The sequence below is a fragment of the Homo sapiens genome, chromosome 1 (genome assembly GCF_000001405.40).
Source record: "Homo sapiens chromosome 1, GRCh38.p14 Primary Assembly".
NCBI classification, from domain to species: Eukaryota; Metazoa; Chordata; class Mammalia; order Primates; family Hominidae; genus Homo; species Homo sapiens.
Window position 1 is genome coordinate 62,751,446 of NC_000001.11, and position 15,983 is coordinate 62,767,428.

General features: G+C 44.8%; 1 long non-coding RNA gene across 2 annotated transcripts, besides 3 other annotated features; it reads left to right on the plus strand.

Annotated features, from left to right (window-relative positions):
* The first annotated feature begins 2,960 nt into the window (after positions 1-2,960).
* LOC124904194 (uncharacterized) lies at positions 2,961-11,414 on the plus strand. Of its 2 annotated transcripts, none has more exons than XR_007066148.1 (2): positions 2,961-3,419; positions 4,556-11,414. It is a non-coding gene; the product is annotated as an uncharacterized LOC124904194 (long non-coding RNA). The 2 variants fall into 2 exon arrangements; XR_007066149.1 differs by having other exon boundaries at positions 9,618-11,414.
* Positions 3,627-4,172: an enhancer, noted in NCBI's record as "H3K27ac hESC enhancer chr1:63220743-63221288 (GRCh37/hg19 assembly coordinates)". NCBI's record gives its function as "activates a minimal SCP1, AML or CMV promoter by ChIP-STARR-seq in naive H9 embryonic stem cells {active_cell/tissue: H9 hESC(naive)}" and the evidence as "EXISTENCE:reporter gene assay evidence [ECO:0000049][PMID:30033119]".
* Positions 4,173-4,719: an enhancer, noted in NCBI's record as "OCT4-NANOG-H3K27ac hESC enhancer chr1:63221289-63221835 (GRCh37/hg19 assembly coordinates)". NCBI's record gives its function as "activates a minimal SCP1, AML or CMV promoter by ChIP-STARR-seq in primed H9 embryonic stem cells {active_cell/tissue: H9 hESC(primed)}" and the evidence as "EXISTENCE:reporter gene assay evidence [ECO:0000049][PMID:30033119]".
* Positions 4,720-5,265: an enhancer, noted in NCBI's record as "OCT4-NANOG-H3K27ac hESC enhancer chr1:63221836-63222381 (GRCh37/hg19 assembly coordinates)". NCBI's record gives its function as "activates a minimal SCP1, AML or CMV promoter by ChIP-STARR-seq in naive and primed H9 embryonic stem cells {active_cell/tissue: H9 hESC(naive and primed)}" and the evidence as "EXISTENCE:reporter gene assay evidence [ECO:0000049][PMID:30033119]".
* Positions 11,415-15,983: the final 4,569 nt, after the last annotated feature.

Consider the following 15,983-nt stretch of genomic DNA (forward strand, 5'->3'; position numbering starts at 1 on the left):
AAACTGGGCCATTTGTTACTTTAACCCAAAGCCAGGTCTCAAACTTTGACTTGGAGCAAGGTTCAGAAGGAAGCTACTAACTTAATATTAACTCTTGATATCATAAAAACTCTACTTTTAAAATACAATTATAAAAAAACCTAGCTTTATATATATTTTTATATATTTTGTTTGTGTGTATATATATAGTGTATATATATATTGTGTATATATATAGTGTATATATACTATATATATTATATATACTATATATTATATATAGTATATATATTATATATTATATATAGTATATATAATATATAGTATATATATTATATATATAGTGTATATATAATATATATATATATATATATTTTTTTTTTTTGAGACAGGGTCTCACTCTGTCAACCAGGCTGGAGTGCGGTGGGGTGATCTCAGCTCACTGCAGTCTCCGCCTCCTGGTTCAAGCAATTCTCATGCCTTGGCCTCCCAAACAGCTGGGACTACAGGTGCACACCACCATGTTCACCTAAATTTTTGTATTTTTAGTAGAGAAAGGGTTTTGCCATGTTGGCCAGGCTAGTCTCAAACTCCTGACCCCAAGTGATCCGCCTGCCTCAGCCTCCCAAAGTGCTGGGATTACAGGCATGAGCCACTACAGTTGGGCTGCTTTATATATTTTATAAAAAGGCAGCCAGAAAGAACTCTTGACTTTTTGGCTTCTCTACAGAAACCAAAAAGTTGGGCAGGATTATGTTTATTTAGTGCCAGTACTTAAAGGTTATTATTTTTTTTTTTTTTGAGACAGAGTTTCGCTCTTGTTGCCCAGGCTGGAGTGCAATGGCATGATTTGGGCTCACTGCAACCTCTGCATCCTGGGTTCAAGCAATTCTCCTGCCTCAGCCTCCCGAGTAGATGGGATTACAGGCATGCACCACCATGCCTGGCTAATTTTTTTGTATTTTTAGTAGAGACGAGGTTTCTCCATGTTGGTCAGGCTGGTCTCAAACTCCCGACCTCAAGTCATCTGCCCGCCTCGGCCTCCCAAAGTGCCGGGATTACAGGCATGAGCCACTGCGCCCGGCCCAAAGGTTATTCTTTAAAAGTTCACAAAGTCTACATCACTGAATGACAAATACCAGTTTTTAAGATTAATCCATTCTAGGGCTGGGCGCAGTAGCTCTAGCCTATAGTCCCAGCACTTTGGGAGGCCAAGGCGGGTAGATCATTGAGATCAAGAGTTCGAGACCAGCCTCGCCAACATGGTGACACCCTGTCTCTACTAAAAATACAAATAGAATTTAGCCAGGCATGGTGGCGGATGCCTGTAATCCCAGCTACTCAGGAGCCTGAGGCAGGAGAATCACTTGAACCCGGGAGGCGGAGGTTGTAGTGAGCCGAGATCACGTCACTGCATTCCAGCCTGGGCAGCAAGAGCGAAACTCCATCTCAGAAAAAACAAAACAAAACAAAAACCACTGTAGTTTTTAAAATGTTATCTTTGTGGCATGGCCAGTCAAAAACTCAATTAACTAGAGTTCTATGTGAACGCCACATTGGCTTGCCTTTCAAGAGCTTGAAATTTACTGAGAGAGGTAAGCATGTACATAATGAATGAAAAAACAAGGAAGAATGTGAACAGCACTTAATAAACACACAAAATTGGCCAGGTGTGGTGGCCAATGCCTGTAATCCCAGCACTTTGGGAGGCTGAGGAGGGCAAATCACTTGAGGTCAGAAGTCTGAGACCGGCCTGGCCAACATGGCAAAACCCCAACTCTACTAAAAATACAAAAATTAGCCGGGCGTGCTGGTGGGCGCCTGTAATCCCAGTGAGAGGTGACAATGTGCTAGCAGGCCTTGCTCACTCTCGGCGCCTCCTTGGCCTCGGCGTCCACTCTCGCCATGCTTGAGGAGCCCTTCAGCCCACCACTGCACTGTGGGAGTCCCTCTCTGGGCTGGCCAAGGCCAGAGCTGGGTCCCTTCGCTTATGGGGAGGTGTGGAGGGAGAGGCGTGGGCGGGAACCGAGGCTGCGCGCAGCACTGATGGGCCAGCACAAGTCCCGGGTGGGCGTGGACTCAGTGGGTCCCGCACTTGGAGTGGCCGGCCAGTGCTGCTGGCCCCGGGCAGTGAAGGGCTTAGCACCCGGGCCAGCAGCTGCAGAGGGTGCGCAGGGTCCCCCAGCACTGTCGGCCAGCCTGCACCATGCTTGAATTCTCGCCAGGCCTCAGCCGCCTCCCCGCTGGGCAGGGCTCGAGACCCACTGCCTGCCATGCCCAAGTGACCCCCCCACCCTGTGGTTCCTGCGCGGCCAGAAGCTCCCCAATGGGTGCCACCCCCTGCTCTGCGGTGCCTGATCCCATTGACCGCCCAAGGGCTGAGGACTGCTGGCGCACAGCATTGGACTGGTGGACAGCTCCACCCACGGCCCCGGCACGGGCTCCTCTAGGTGAAGCCAGCTGGCCTCCTGAGTTGGGTGGGGACTTGGAGAACTTTTATGTCTAGCTAAAGGATTGTAAATGCACCAATCAGCACCCTGTGTCTAGCTCAAGGTTTGTAAATGCACCAATCACTGCTCTGTGTCTAGCTAATCTAGTGGGGACTTGGAGAACTTTTATGTCTAGCTGGAGGATTGTAAATGCACCAATCAGCACTTTGTGTCTAGCTCAAGGTTTGTAAATGCACCAATCAGCACTCTGTGTCTAGCTCAAGGTTTGTAAACGTACCAATCAGTGCTCTGTGTCTAGCTAATCTAGTGGGGACTTGGAGAAGTTTTGTGTCTAGCTAAAGGATTGTAAATGCACCAATCAGCACTCTGTGTCTAGCTCAAGGTTTGTAAGTGCACCAATAAGCACCCTGTCAAAATGGGCCAATCAGCTCTCTGTAAAATGGGCCAGTCAGCTCTCTGTAAAATGGACCAATCAGCAGGATGTGGGTAGGTCAGATAAGGGAATAAAAGCAGGCTGCCCGAGTCAGCAGTGGCAACCTGCTCAGGTCCCCTTCCACGCCATGGAAGCTTTGTTCTTTTGCTCTTTGCAATAAATCTTGCTGCTGTTCACTCTTTGGGTCCACATGGCCTTTATGAGCTGTAACACTCACCATGAAGGTCTGCAGCTTCACTCCTGAAGCCAGTGAGATCATGGACCCCTGGGGAGGGACGAACAACTCCAGACGCGCCACCTTTAAGAGCTGTAACACTCACTGCGAAGGTCTGCAGCTTCACTCCTGAAGTCAGCGAGACCACAAACCCACCAGAAGGAAGAAACTCCAGACACATCTGAACATCTGAAGGAATGAACTCTGGACACACAATCTTTAAGAACTGTAACACTCACTGCGAGGGTCCATGGCTTCATTCTTGAAGTCAGCAAGACCAAGAACCCACTAATTCTGGACACATTTTGGCAGCCCAGATGGGACTATCGCCTATCACCAAGCGGTGAGTACCATCAGACCTCTTTCACTTGCTATTCTGTCCTATTTTTCCTTAGAATTCGGGGGCTAAATACCGGGCACCTGTCGGCCAGTTAAAAGCAACTAGCATGGCTGCCAGACTAAAGACACGGGTGTCAGGCTTTCTGGGAAAGGGCTCTCTAACAACCCCCGACTCTTCGGAGTGGGAGGGTTGGTTTGCTTGGAACCAGCTTCCGCTTTTCCCGTACTTCTGGGCTGAGCCGAGGGTTGACAGAGAGGAAAGCCATTCAGCTCCAGGGTCCCAACAACAAGTTTGTTGACCCTGCGGCCATGAGCGGAATTCTCAAAGGCATGTCGCCCAAGCGAGACTCACCCATCTATCCTATCTATCCTGACCCTTGCCCCCTGGGTCCTAATGCCTGCCAGACAAACTTCCTCTCACCTCTCTTCTCCGAGGCTAGTCCCACTTCTAAAAATCACTCCGTCTCTGGTGTTTTCTAGTTTCTCCTATAAGAATGACTTCTAGTATAAACTCCAAGACTCTGTTACCTTCTTTAGGCACCCTGGCTCACCAATCAGAAAGACATAATGTTTGCCCAAAGCCCCATTGTAGGGGGGACTATCTGGAATTTTAGGATCCCTCCTCAGACTAACAGGCCTAACAAAAGCTATTCCTCAAGTGAGGATATGGGAAGCCTCAAAAATTGTATCCTTCCTATTCATATAAGTGAGGACAAAAGGTGTCACTCTTCCAACCCTGGAGATCCCTTCCCTCCCTCAGGGTATGGACCTCCACTTCATTTTTGGGGCATAACATCTTTATAGGACAGGGGTAAAGTCCCAGTACTAACAGGAGAATGCTTAGGACTCTAACAGGTTTTCAAGAATGCATTGGTAAGGGCCACTAAATCTGATTTTTCTCAGTCCTCCTTGTGGTCTAGGAGGACAGGCAAGGGTGCAGATTTTCAAGAATGCGTCGGTAAGAGCCACTAAATCCGACCTTCCTCGGTCCTCCTTGTGGTCTGGGGGAAAAACTAGTGTTTCTGCTGCTGCATCGGAGAGCGCAATTATTCTGATCAGCAGGGTCCAGGGACCGTTGCAGGTTCTTGGGCAGGGGGAGAAACAAAACAAACCAAAACTGTGGGCGGTTTTGTCTTTCAGATGGGAAACACTCAGGCATCAACAGGCTCACCCTTGAAATGCATCCTCAGCCATTGGGACCAATTTGACCCACAAACCCTGAAAAAGAAGCGGCTCATTTTTTTCTGCACTACAGCTTGGCCCCAATATTCTCTCTCTGATAGGGAAAAATGGCCACCTGAGGGAAGTACAAATTACAATACTATCCTGCAGCTTGACCTTTTCTGTAAGAGGGAAGGCAAATGGAGTGAAATACCTTATGTCCAAGCTTTCTTTTCATTGAAGGAGAATACACAACTATGCAAAGCTTGCAATTTACATCCCACAGGAGGACCTCTCAGCTTACCCCCATATACTAGACTCCCTATAGCTCCCCTTCCTATGAATGATAATACTCCTCTAATCTCCCCTGCCCAGAAGGAAATAAGCAAAGAAATCTCCAAAGGACCACAAACCCCCCCGGGCTATCGGTTATGTCCCCTTCAAGCTTGTAGGGGGAGGGGAATTTGGCCCAACCCGGGTACATGTCCCCTTCTCCCTCTCTGATTTAAAGCAGATCAAGGCAGACCTGGGGAAGTTTTCAGATGATCCTGGTAGGTACATAAATGTCCTACAGGGTCTAGGGCAAACCTTCAACCTCGCTTGGAGAGATGTCATGCTGCTGTTAGATCAAACCCTGGCCTTTAATGAAAACAATGCAGCTTTAGCTGCAGCCCAAGAGTTTGGAGATACTTGGTATCTTAGTCAAGTAAATGATAAAATGACAGCCGAAGAAAGTGATAAATTCCCTACCAGTCAGCAAGCTGTCCTCAATATGGATCCCCACTGGGACCTTGAATGAGATCATGGGGACTGGAGTCATAAACATCTGTTGACCTGTGTTCTAGAAGGACTAAGGAGAATTAGGAAAAAGCCCATGAATTATTCAATGATGTCCACCATAACTCAGGGAAAGGAAGAAAATCCTTCTGCCTTCCTTGAGCAGCTACAGGAGGCCTTAAGAAAATATACTCCCCTGTCTCCCGAATCACTCGAGGGTCAACTGATTCTAAAAGATAAGTTTATTACCCAATCAGCCGCAGATATCAGGAGAAAGCTCCAAAAGCAAGCCCTGGGCCCTGAACAAAATCTGGAGGCATTATTAAACCTGGCAACCTCAGTGTTCTATAATAGGGACCAAGACGAACAAGCCCAGAAGGAAAAGTGAGATCAGAGAAAGGCTGCAGCCTTAGTCATGGCCCTCAGACAAACAAACCTTGGTGGTTCAGAGAGGACAGAAAATGAAGCAGGCCAATCACCCGGTAGGGCTTGTTATCAGTGTGGTTTATTAGGACACTTTAAAAAAGATTGTCCAATGAGAAACAAGCTGCCCCCTCGTCCACGTCCACTATGCCGAGGCAATCACTGGAAGGTGCACTGCTCCAGAGGATGAAGGTTCTCTGGGTCAGAAGCCCCCAACCAGATGATCCAACAACAGGATTGAGGGTGCCCGGGGCAAGTGCCAGCTCATGTCATCACCTTCACTGAGCCCTGGGTACAGTTAACCACTGAGGGCCAGGAAATTGACTTCCTCCTGGACACTGGCGCAGCCTTCTCAGTGTTAATCTCATGTCTTAGATGACTGTCCTCAAGGTCCCTTACCATCCAAGGAATCCTGGGACAGCCTGTAACCAGGTATTTCTCCCACCTCCTCAGTTGTAATTGGGAGACTTTGCTCTTTTCACATGCCTTTCTTGTTATGCCTGAAAGTCCCACACCCTTATTAGGGAGGGATATATTAGCCAAGGCTGGAGCTATTATCTACATGAATATGGGGAACAAGTTACCCATTTGTTGTCCCCCTACTTGAGGAGGGAATCAACCCTGAAGTCTGGGCATTGAAAGGACAATTTGGAAGGGCAAAAAATGCCCGCCCAGTCCAAATCAGACTGAAAGACCCCACCACTTTTCCTTATCAAAGGCAATATCCCTTAAGACCTGAAGCTCATAAAGGATTACAGGATATTGTTAAACATTTAAAAGCTCAAGGCTTAGTAAGGAAATGCAGCAGTCCCTGCAACACCCCAATTCTAGGAGTACAAAAACCGGTCAGTGGAGACTAGTGCAAGATCTTAGACTCATCAATGAGGCAGTAATTCCTCTATATCCAGTTGTACTCAACCCCTATACCCTGCTCTCTCAAATACCAGAGGAAGCAGAATGGTTCACTGTTCTGGACCTCAAGGATGTCTTCTGTATTCCCCTGCACTCTGACTCCCAGTTTCTCTTTGCCTTTGAGGATCCCACAGACCACACGTCCCAACTTATGTGGACAGTCTTGCCCCAAGGGCTTAGGGATAGCCCTCACCTGTTTGGTCAGGCACTGGCCCAAGATCTAGGCCACTTCTGAAGTCCAGGCACTCTGGTCCTTCAGTATTTGGATGATTTACTTTTGGCTACCAGTTCGGAAGCTTCATGCCAGCAGGCTACTCTAGATTTCTTGAACTTTCTAGCTAATCAAGGGTACAAGTGTCTAGGTCGAAGGCCCAGCTTTGCCTATAGCAGGTCAAATATCTAGGCCTAATCTTAGCCAGAGGGACCAGGGCCCTCAGCAAGGAATGAATACAGCCTATACTGGCTTATCCTCACCCTAAGACATTAAAACAGTTGCGGGGTTCCTTGAAATCACTGGCTTTTGCTGACTATGGATCCCAGGATACAGCAAGATAGCCAGGCCCCTCTATACTCTAATCAAGGAGACCCAGAGAGCAAATACTCATCTAGTAGAATGGGAACCAGAGGCAGAAACAGCCTTCAAAACCTTAAAGCAGGCCCTTGTACAAGCTCCAGCTTTAAGCCTTCCCATAGGAGAAAACTTCTCTTTATACATCACAGAGAGAGTAGGGATAGCTCTTTGAGTCCTTACTCAGACTCGTGGGACAACCCCACAACCAGTGGCATACCTAAGTAAGGAAATTGATGTGGTAGCAAAAGGCTGGCCTCACTGTTTACAGGTAGTTGTGGTGGTGGCTGTCTTAGTGTCAGGAGCTGTCAAAATAATACAAAGAAAGGATCTCACTATCTGGACTACTCATGATGTAAATGGCATACTAGGTGCCAAAGGAATTTTATGGCTATCAGACAACTGCCTACTTAGATACCAAGCGCTACTCCTTGAGGGACTGGTGCTTCAAATAGGTACGTGCATGGCCCTCAACCCTGCCACTTTTCTCCCAGAGGATGGGGAACCAATCGAGCATGACTGCCAACAAATTATAGTCCAGACTTATGCCGCCCGAGATGATCTCTTAGAAGTCCCCTTAGCTAATCCTGACCTTAACCTATATACCGATGGAAGTTCATTTGTGGAGAATGGGGTATGAAGGGCAGGTTATGCCATAGATAATGATGTAACTGTACTTGAAAGTAAGTCTCTTCCCCCAGGGACCAGTGCCCAGTTAGCAGAAGTAGTGGCACTTACTTGAGCCTTAGAACTGGGAAAGGGAAAAAGAATAAATGTGTATACAAATAGCAAGTATGCTTATCTAATCCTACATGCTCATGCTGCAATATGGAAAGAAAGGGAGTTCCTAACCTCTGGGGGAACCCCCATTAAATACCACAAAGAAATTATGGAGTTATTGCACGCAGTGCAAAAACCCAAGGAGGTGGCAGTCTTACACTGCCGAAGCCATCAAAAAGGGGAAGGAAAGGGGAGAACAGCAGCACAAGCAGCTGGCAGAGGCAGGGAAAGACCAGCAGAGAGAAAGAGAGAGACAGAGAGAGGAAGAGACAGACAGAAAGTCAAAGAGAGAAAGAAACAGACAGAGACAAACAGGGAGTGAGAAAGAGAAAGAGACAAAAAGTCAAAGAAAGAAGGAGAGAGGAAGAGACAAAGAGGGAGTCAGAAGGAGAGAGACAAAGAAGAAGTCAAAGAGAAAGAAAGAGAGATGGAAGTAGTAAATAAAAAACAGTGTACCCTATTCCTTTAAAAGCCAGGGTAAATTTAAAACCTACAATTGATAATTGAAGGTCTTCTCTGTAACCTTATAACACTCCAATACCACCTCATTGTCAGTGTAAACAAGGGCATAGCCTGAAAGCACTGAGGCCACTGACAACCCATAGCCTTCCTATCAAAAATCCTTAACCCAGCAGGTTTCCTAACAGGGGATCTAAATCTTAACTAATTACCATACAAAGGTCCAACCAGCTCTAGGAGGAACTCCCTTCAGGACAGGACAATAGATGGTTCCTCACAGGCGATTAAGGGAAAAAGACATGATGCGTATTAAGTAGGTGATAAGGAAACTCTTGTAGAAGCAGAGTTAGGAAAATTGCCTGATAATTGGTCTGCTCAAATGTGTGAGCTGTTTGCACTCAGCCAAACCTTAAAGTACTTACAGAATCAGGAAGGAGCCATCTATACCAATTTTAAGTTAATATGGACTGAACGAGGTATTATTAATAGCAGAGAGTAATTGAAATCCCAAACTTACAAGGTTTTCAACAAAAGTAGTTTGCTAAAAGTTAACAGTGTAAACATATATTATCCTAACTTCTAATCTTGTGGAAATCAGACCTTATCAGTAATCCTCAAAGCTCAAGTTCGTCAGCACAGAGCCATACAACTAATACCCCTACTTATAGGGTTAGGAATGGCAACTGCTACAGGAACCGGAATAGCCAGTTTATCTACTTCATTATCCTACTACCACACACTCTCAAAGGATTTCTCAGACAGTTTGCAAGAGATAACGAAATCTATCCTTACTCTACAATCCCAAATAGACTCTTTAGCAGCAGTGACTCTCCAAAACTGCTGAGGCCTAGACCTCCTCACTGCTGAGGAAGGAGGACTCTGCACCTTCTTAGGGGAAGAGTGTTGTTTTTACACGAACCAATCAGGGATAGTAAGAGATGCTGCCCGGTGTTTACAGGAAAAGGCTTCTGAAATCAGACAATGCCTTTCAAACTCTTATACCAACCTCTGGAGTTGGGCAACATGGCTTCTCCCCTTTCTAGGTCCCATGGCAGCTATCTTGCTGTTACTTGCCTTTGGGCCCTGTATTTTTAACCTTCTGGTCAAATTTGTTTCCTCTAGAATCGAGGCCATCAAGCTACAGATGGTCTTACAAATGGAACCCCAAATGAGCTCAACTAACAACTTCTACTGAGGACCCCTGGACCGACCTGCTGGTCCTTCCACTGGCCTAAAGAGTTCCTCTCTGGAGGACACTACAACTGCAGGGCACCTTCTTTGCCACTATCCAGCAGGAAGTAGCTAGAGCAGTCATTGCCACTATCCAGCAGGAAGTAGCTAGAGCAGTCATTGGCCAAATTCCCAACAGCAGTTGGGGTGTCCTGTTTAGAGGGGTGATTGAGAGGTGACAACGTGCCAGCAGCCCTTGCTCGCTCTCAGCACCTCCTCGGCCTCGGCGTCCACTCTGGCCCCACTTGAGGAGCCCTTCAGCCCACCGCTACACTGTGGGAGCCCCTCTCTGGGCTGGCCAAGGCTGGAGCCGGCTCCCTCTGCTTGCGGGGAGGTGTGGAGGGAGAGGCACAGGTGGGAACCGAGGCTGCGCACAGCGCTCGCAGGCCAGCATGAGTTCCAGGTGGGCGCTGGCTTGGCAGGCCCTGCAATCAGAGTGGCCGGCCGGTGCCGTCAGCCCCGGGCAGTGAGGGGCTTAGCACCTGGGTCAGCAGCTGCGGAGGGTGCTCCGGGTCCCCCAGCACTGCCGGCCTGCCCGCGCCATGCTCGAATTCTCGCCAGGCCTCAGCCGCCTCCCTGTGGGGCAGGGCTTGGGACCTGCAGCCCGCCATGCCAGAGCCTCCCCCCCGCCCTGATCCCCCCCCACGCCCATGGGCTCCCCTGCAGCCTGAGCCTCCCCAACGGGCACGGCCCCCTGCTCCATGGCAACCAGTCCCGTCACCACCCAAGGGCTGAGGAGTGCAGGTGCAGGGCATGGGACTGGCGAGGAGCTCCACCCACAGCCCTGGCGCAGGATCCACTAGGCAAAGCCAGCTGGGCTCCTGAGTCAGGTGGGGACTTGGAGAACTTTTATGTCTAGCTGGAAGATTGTAAATGCACCAATCAGCACCCTGTATCTAGCTCAAGGTTTGTAAACGCACCAATCAGTGCTCTGTGTCTAGCTAATCTAGTGGAGACTTGGAGAACTTTTATGTCTAGCTGGAAAATTGTAAATGCACCAATCAGCACTTTGTGTTTAGCTCAAGGTTTGTAAACGCACCAGTCAGCACCCTGTTAAAGTGGGCCAATCAGCTCTCTGTAAAACGGGCCAATCAGCTCTCTGTAAAACAGATCAATCAGCAGGATGTGGGTGGGGTCAGATAAGGGAATAAAAGCAGGCTGCCTGAGCCAGCAGTGGTGACCCGCTGGGGTCCTCTTCCACACTGTGGAAGCTTTGTTTCTTCACTCTTCACAATAAATCTTGCTGCTGCTCACTCTTTGGGTCCGCGTGGCCTTTATGAGCTGTAACACGCACCACGAAGGTCTGCAGCTTCACTCCTGAAGTCAGCGAGACCACGAACCCACCAGAAGGAAGAAACTCCGGACACATCTGAACATCTAAAGGAACAAACTCTGGACACACCATCTTTAAGAACTGTAACACTCACTGCAAGGGTCTGCGGCTTCATTTTTGAAGTCAGCGAGACCAAGAACCCACTAATTCTGGACACAGCAGCTACTTGGGAGGCTGACGTAGGAGAATCCCTTGAACCTGGGAGGTGGAGGTTGCAGTGAGCTGAGATTGCATCACTGCAATCCAGCCTGGAGACAGAGCAAGACTAAGTCTCAAAAAAACAAAACAAAACAAAAAACAAACAAACCCAAAGTCTTACTATGGCATCAAAGAAGAATAAATTCTGAATGATGAGAGTTTTGTATCAGAGTTAGAAATTTGAGCTGGGCTGGCTGGGTGTGGTGGCTCATGCCTGTAATCCCAGCACTTTGGGAGGCTGAGGTGGGCAGATCACGAGGTCAGGAGATCAAGACCATCCTGGCTAACATGGTGAAACCCTGTCTCTACTAAAAATACAAAAAAAAAATTAGCTGGGCATGGTGGTGGGCGCCTGTAGTACCAGCTACTCGGGAGGCGTGAACCTGGGAGGCAGAGCCTGCAGTGAGCAGAGATTGTGTCACTGCACTCCAGCCTGGGCAACAAAGTGAGACTCCGTCTTAAAAAAAAAAAAGAAATTTGAGCTGGGCTAAATGTACATACATATATAGATGTGTGTGTGTGTGTGTGTGTATACTGATTTTTTTAAAAAACACAGGTTTATTGAGAAAAATTAAAAATATAGGGAAATATGTGCATTATAACCAAGATAATGACACTTAAGAACTTGATGCATAATCTTGTTTTTATAAATATACTTACAAAAGATATTACTATTACAAACATCTGTTAATTTGATGAATATGTATGTAATGCTTACAATGTCTTAGGCACTGTTTTACAGGCTTGAGTTACATCAGTGAAGATGTAACTCAAGTAATTTCTTTTGTCATAGAGCTTATCTTTTAGTGAAGTGAGATAGAGAATAGACAAACAGAGAAATAAGTAAATTATGTAGAATGCTACAAGGCGATAAGTCCTATAGGGATAGAGAGAAGAAAAACGGGACAGAAAGGAGGATCAAGACTCCTGAGGAATGGATTACAGTTTATTTTTATTTTTGAAACAGGGTCTCACTCTGTTGTTCAGGCTGGAAAGCAGTGATGTGATTACGGCTCACTGCAGCCTCCACCTTCCAGGCTCAAGCAGTCCTCTCACTTCAGCCTCCTGAGTAGCTGGCACTACAGGCATGCCACCTTGCCCAGCGAATTTTTGTATTTTTAGTAGAGACAGCTATGTTGCCCAGGCTGGTCTTGAACTCCTAGGCTCAAATGATCTGCCTTCCTCGGCCTCCCAAAGTGCTGGGATTACAGACGTGAGCCACCATACCCAGCCACCTGTGCATTTTCCTAGTCAGGGAAGTCTTTAGTATTTGGAAGTTGACAGGGTCGCTGTGGCAGATAAAAGTTTTTTGATATTCTAATTTTTACTTAAAAGTTCAAAATTTTATCATCCGCAAGAAATACCGTGGTGTTTTCCTTGAAGTAACAGGAGTACTTCATTCATTTTTGAAAAAATTTCTGCCAGATGCCAAAGTCTGAGTAAACATAGTTTGTCTTGTTAGTTACTCTTTCACACAAAAATTGTGTTCCAAGAAAAAATTGTCTAGTTTACCTGGCAACTTGAAAAATCACGTAAGTGCTTTTCCTCAAGATAATCATCCTGCTTTGGTGTGCAGCAGAAGTGCTTTATTTGTACTTCCCATTTTGTCACCCAAAAACCTTTTACTTAAGACTTGAAATTCAATACAATTAATAAGTTTTACTGCTTTATCCATGACATTAATAAATAAAAGTGGCATTTTTTACTTTGAGTGCATAGCAGTGAATAGTAACAATGGCCACTAGCACAGTTTGGTGCCACTACCTCGATTCCAGTAAATTTCCAATCCTTTTACCCACCATTGCTTTTGCAGCATCAGTGCAAACATCAACATAGTAAAAACGACACAATGCCTTAGCATTATTATGAAAACAGTTTTGGCTATGGATCTCTTGAAAGGGTCTTGGAAACCTCAGAAGTCTGCAGGCCACACTTTGGATATCATTGCTTTAATCTCTTAGTCATTGATATCTCAGCAAGTACCTAATGTAGCATAGCCTCAGCTGTACATGTTGTCCTTATTTTCCAGGTGGGGAAAATGAAGATGAGAGATGTTCATTAATTGGCCCAGGATCCCATAGGCATAAGGGAGAGAAGTAGATTTTGCATCTAGAATTGTCTAAATCCAAATCCCAGCCTCTCCTTCTACTTTATATTTCCTGGATAATAATGCTTAAATGCCTTACCTCTTATTTTTCTCTTTTGCAGAATATACTGATTTTATTGAAGTATTTGTTGTACATCTTCCCTCCTCTCTTGGGTGGTCAGGGTATATCTGGACTCTCAATAATATATTTTCCTAGTTATAGAAGTACTAGATTCAGGACAATTGGCTTTGGTGAAAAAAAAGAAAAAAAATAGTAATAAATAAATAAAAGTAATAGAGGCAATATTTTGAACAAGACAACGCCCAAACTCTTTTGCTAAAACATATATAGAAATGCTGAGTGAAAACTAAGCAAGCAAGCAAGCAAGGCTGAGATAAAGATATCTATCTTATTCTGGAACCAGAGTAGAGAAAAAAGAGGTAGTGGTTTGCCCTTGTGAATTTATCATTTAAGCCTGCCCTCATTCAGATCTCAGGTCTGGAGTTATGCTCCATGCATGGCAGTGATCCTCAAGCTGAGAAATTCATGTAAAATGTATCTGAACTGTAATCCCAGCACTTTGGGAGGCTGAGGTGTGCAGATCACTTGAGGTCAGGAGTTCGAGACCAGCCTGGCCAACATGGTAAAACCTCGTCTCTACTAAGCATACAAAAATTAGCTGGGCATGGTGGCGTGCGCCTGTAATCCCAGGTGCTTAGGAGGCTGAGGCAGGAGAATCGCTTGAACCCAGGAGGCGAAGGTTGCAGTGAGCCGAGATTACGGCACTGCCCTACAGCCTGGGTGACGGAACGAGACTGTCTCAAAAATAACTAAAATAAATAAATAAATAAATAAATAAATAAATAAATAAACAAATAAATAAAATAAAATGGATCTGAGAACTGAAACACTTTTCCCCCATACAGCTTGGTGATGCCAAAGTTACCTGCCTGCCCTCTCCCCACAGTTCACTGCTTAACACAATTTTATTATCTTATTGTATACATAACCTTGTTTTACATGTTTTTAAATACATCCTCTTTAATGTGTATTGTTGATTCATTAACACTGACCTCACTACTAACAGCACTATAACTCATGCCTGAATAAAGCTTACCTAATAGTATTTTCCCTGTAAGGCACATCACAGCCTCTTTTTCTTCTTTAACTGTTTTTTTTTTCCCCAGCTTCACTGAGGTAGAACTGACAAGTAAAAATGTATATATTTAAGGTGTACAATGACAACACATCCTCCTGCACTGAGTTAACACTAGACAGCACTTTAGCACTATGTTTGGAGGCCATTTTAAACAGCAAAATCACCAACGAAAAGCACAAGAATGTGAATAATGTAGCACTAAATATACTGAGACAGGGACACTTGTTTACCGTATGTGAGCTGAAAGAAGGCGGAACCTAGCCTTGTTTGACCTCAGCTGGAAATGGGCACAGGGGACTCAAATTTTTTCACAGCTCGGCACAAATGAATGTCTGCAGATAACTGGGAAACAGCCATGTGTATTGATTTTGGGGTAGCAAACAAATTTTAGCAAGTAGGTGAACCTGCAGATATGGACTCTTTTGAATAATGAGAACCAATTGTAATTGCAAAACTTTTCTGAAGGAACACACCTTAAACTCAGGCCACTAATAAGATTCTTATTTTGCTTGAGATGTGGTCAAAATCCCTAGTTACAGGAGGAAACAACTTATCATGAATGAGATAGCAAATACAAGAACTTAGAAATCAAAGAACATGTGAAAATACAACTATTCGATAGGGACTATGAAACAAAAATGTTAAAAGTGATTCTGTAAATTTAAAAATAGTGAGAAAACAAGGCATTATTTCAAAAGACTAAGCAGATTTGAAGTAGACTTGATAAAATTTCTAGATATAAAAAATAGTTAATTAAATAACAAACTCAAGGGAAGGATTAAACAGTGAACTAAATAGTTGAAAAAAGAATTAGTGCCTGGTAAATTCACTAATGTTTCCACCTTACACATGTCCTTGGAGTCAGCCAGCTCTTTCTACAGTATTGGAAGGATAAAGAGATGCTTAAGACCTAAACAGTACTTAAATAAATGATCATTAAAATTAGATACTACTTCATACCCATGGAAGTGGCAAAATTTAAGACTGATGTTAATACTCCAGTGTTGGAGAAAGAATAGGGAAACAGATACTCTTACATCAATGGATACAATGTAAATTGATCAAAGTTTCTTAAGAGTCAGATGACAATATGTATAAGAGTCTAAAAATCAGATGACGTTCCCTAAGTACAGCACTTGTAGAAATTTATTCTAGGGAAATAAACAATTATAATAAAACATACATAAACAAAGACATACAATATAGCAGTATTTATTAAATCACAAATTTGGAAACTACTTAAATCATTAATACAGGGGATATCTTCTACAGATATTGCCAATTCTAATCAGTGCAGAAATAAAAACAGAAAAATCACAAAGTAAACATAAACTGAAGTCATAATGCTATAATCCTTATAGATATAGATATACCTGTGTAAACATATACATAATATATTTTATAGCAAACATAAAATATTATAGCTTAATTATTTTAATTTGGCAATATGTTTTGGACATTTTCCACATTAATAACTTTGC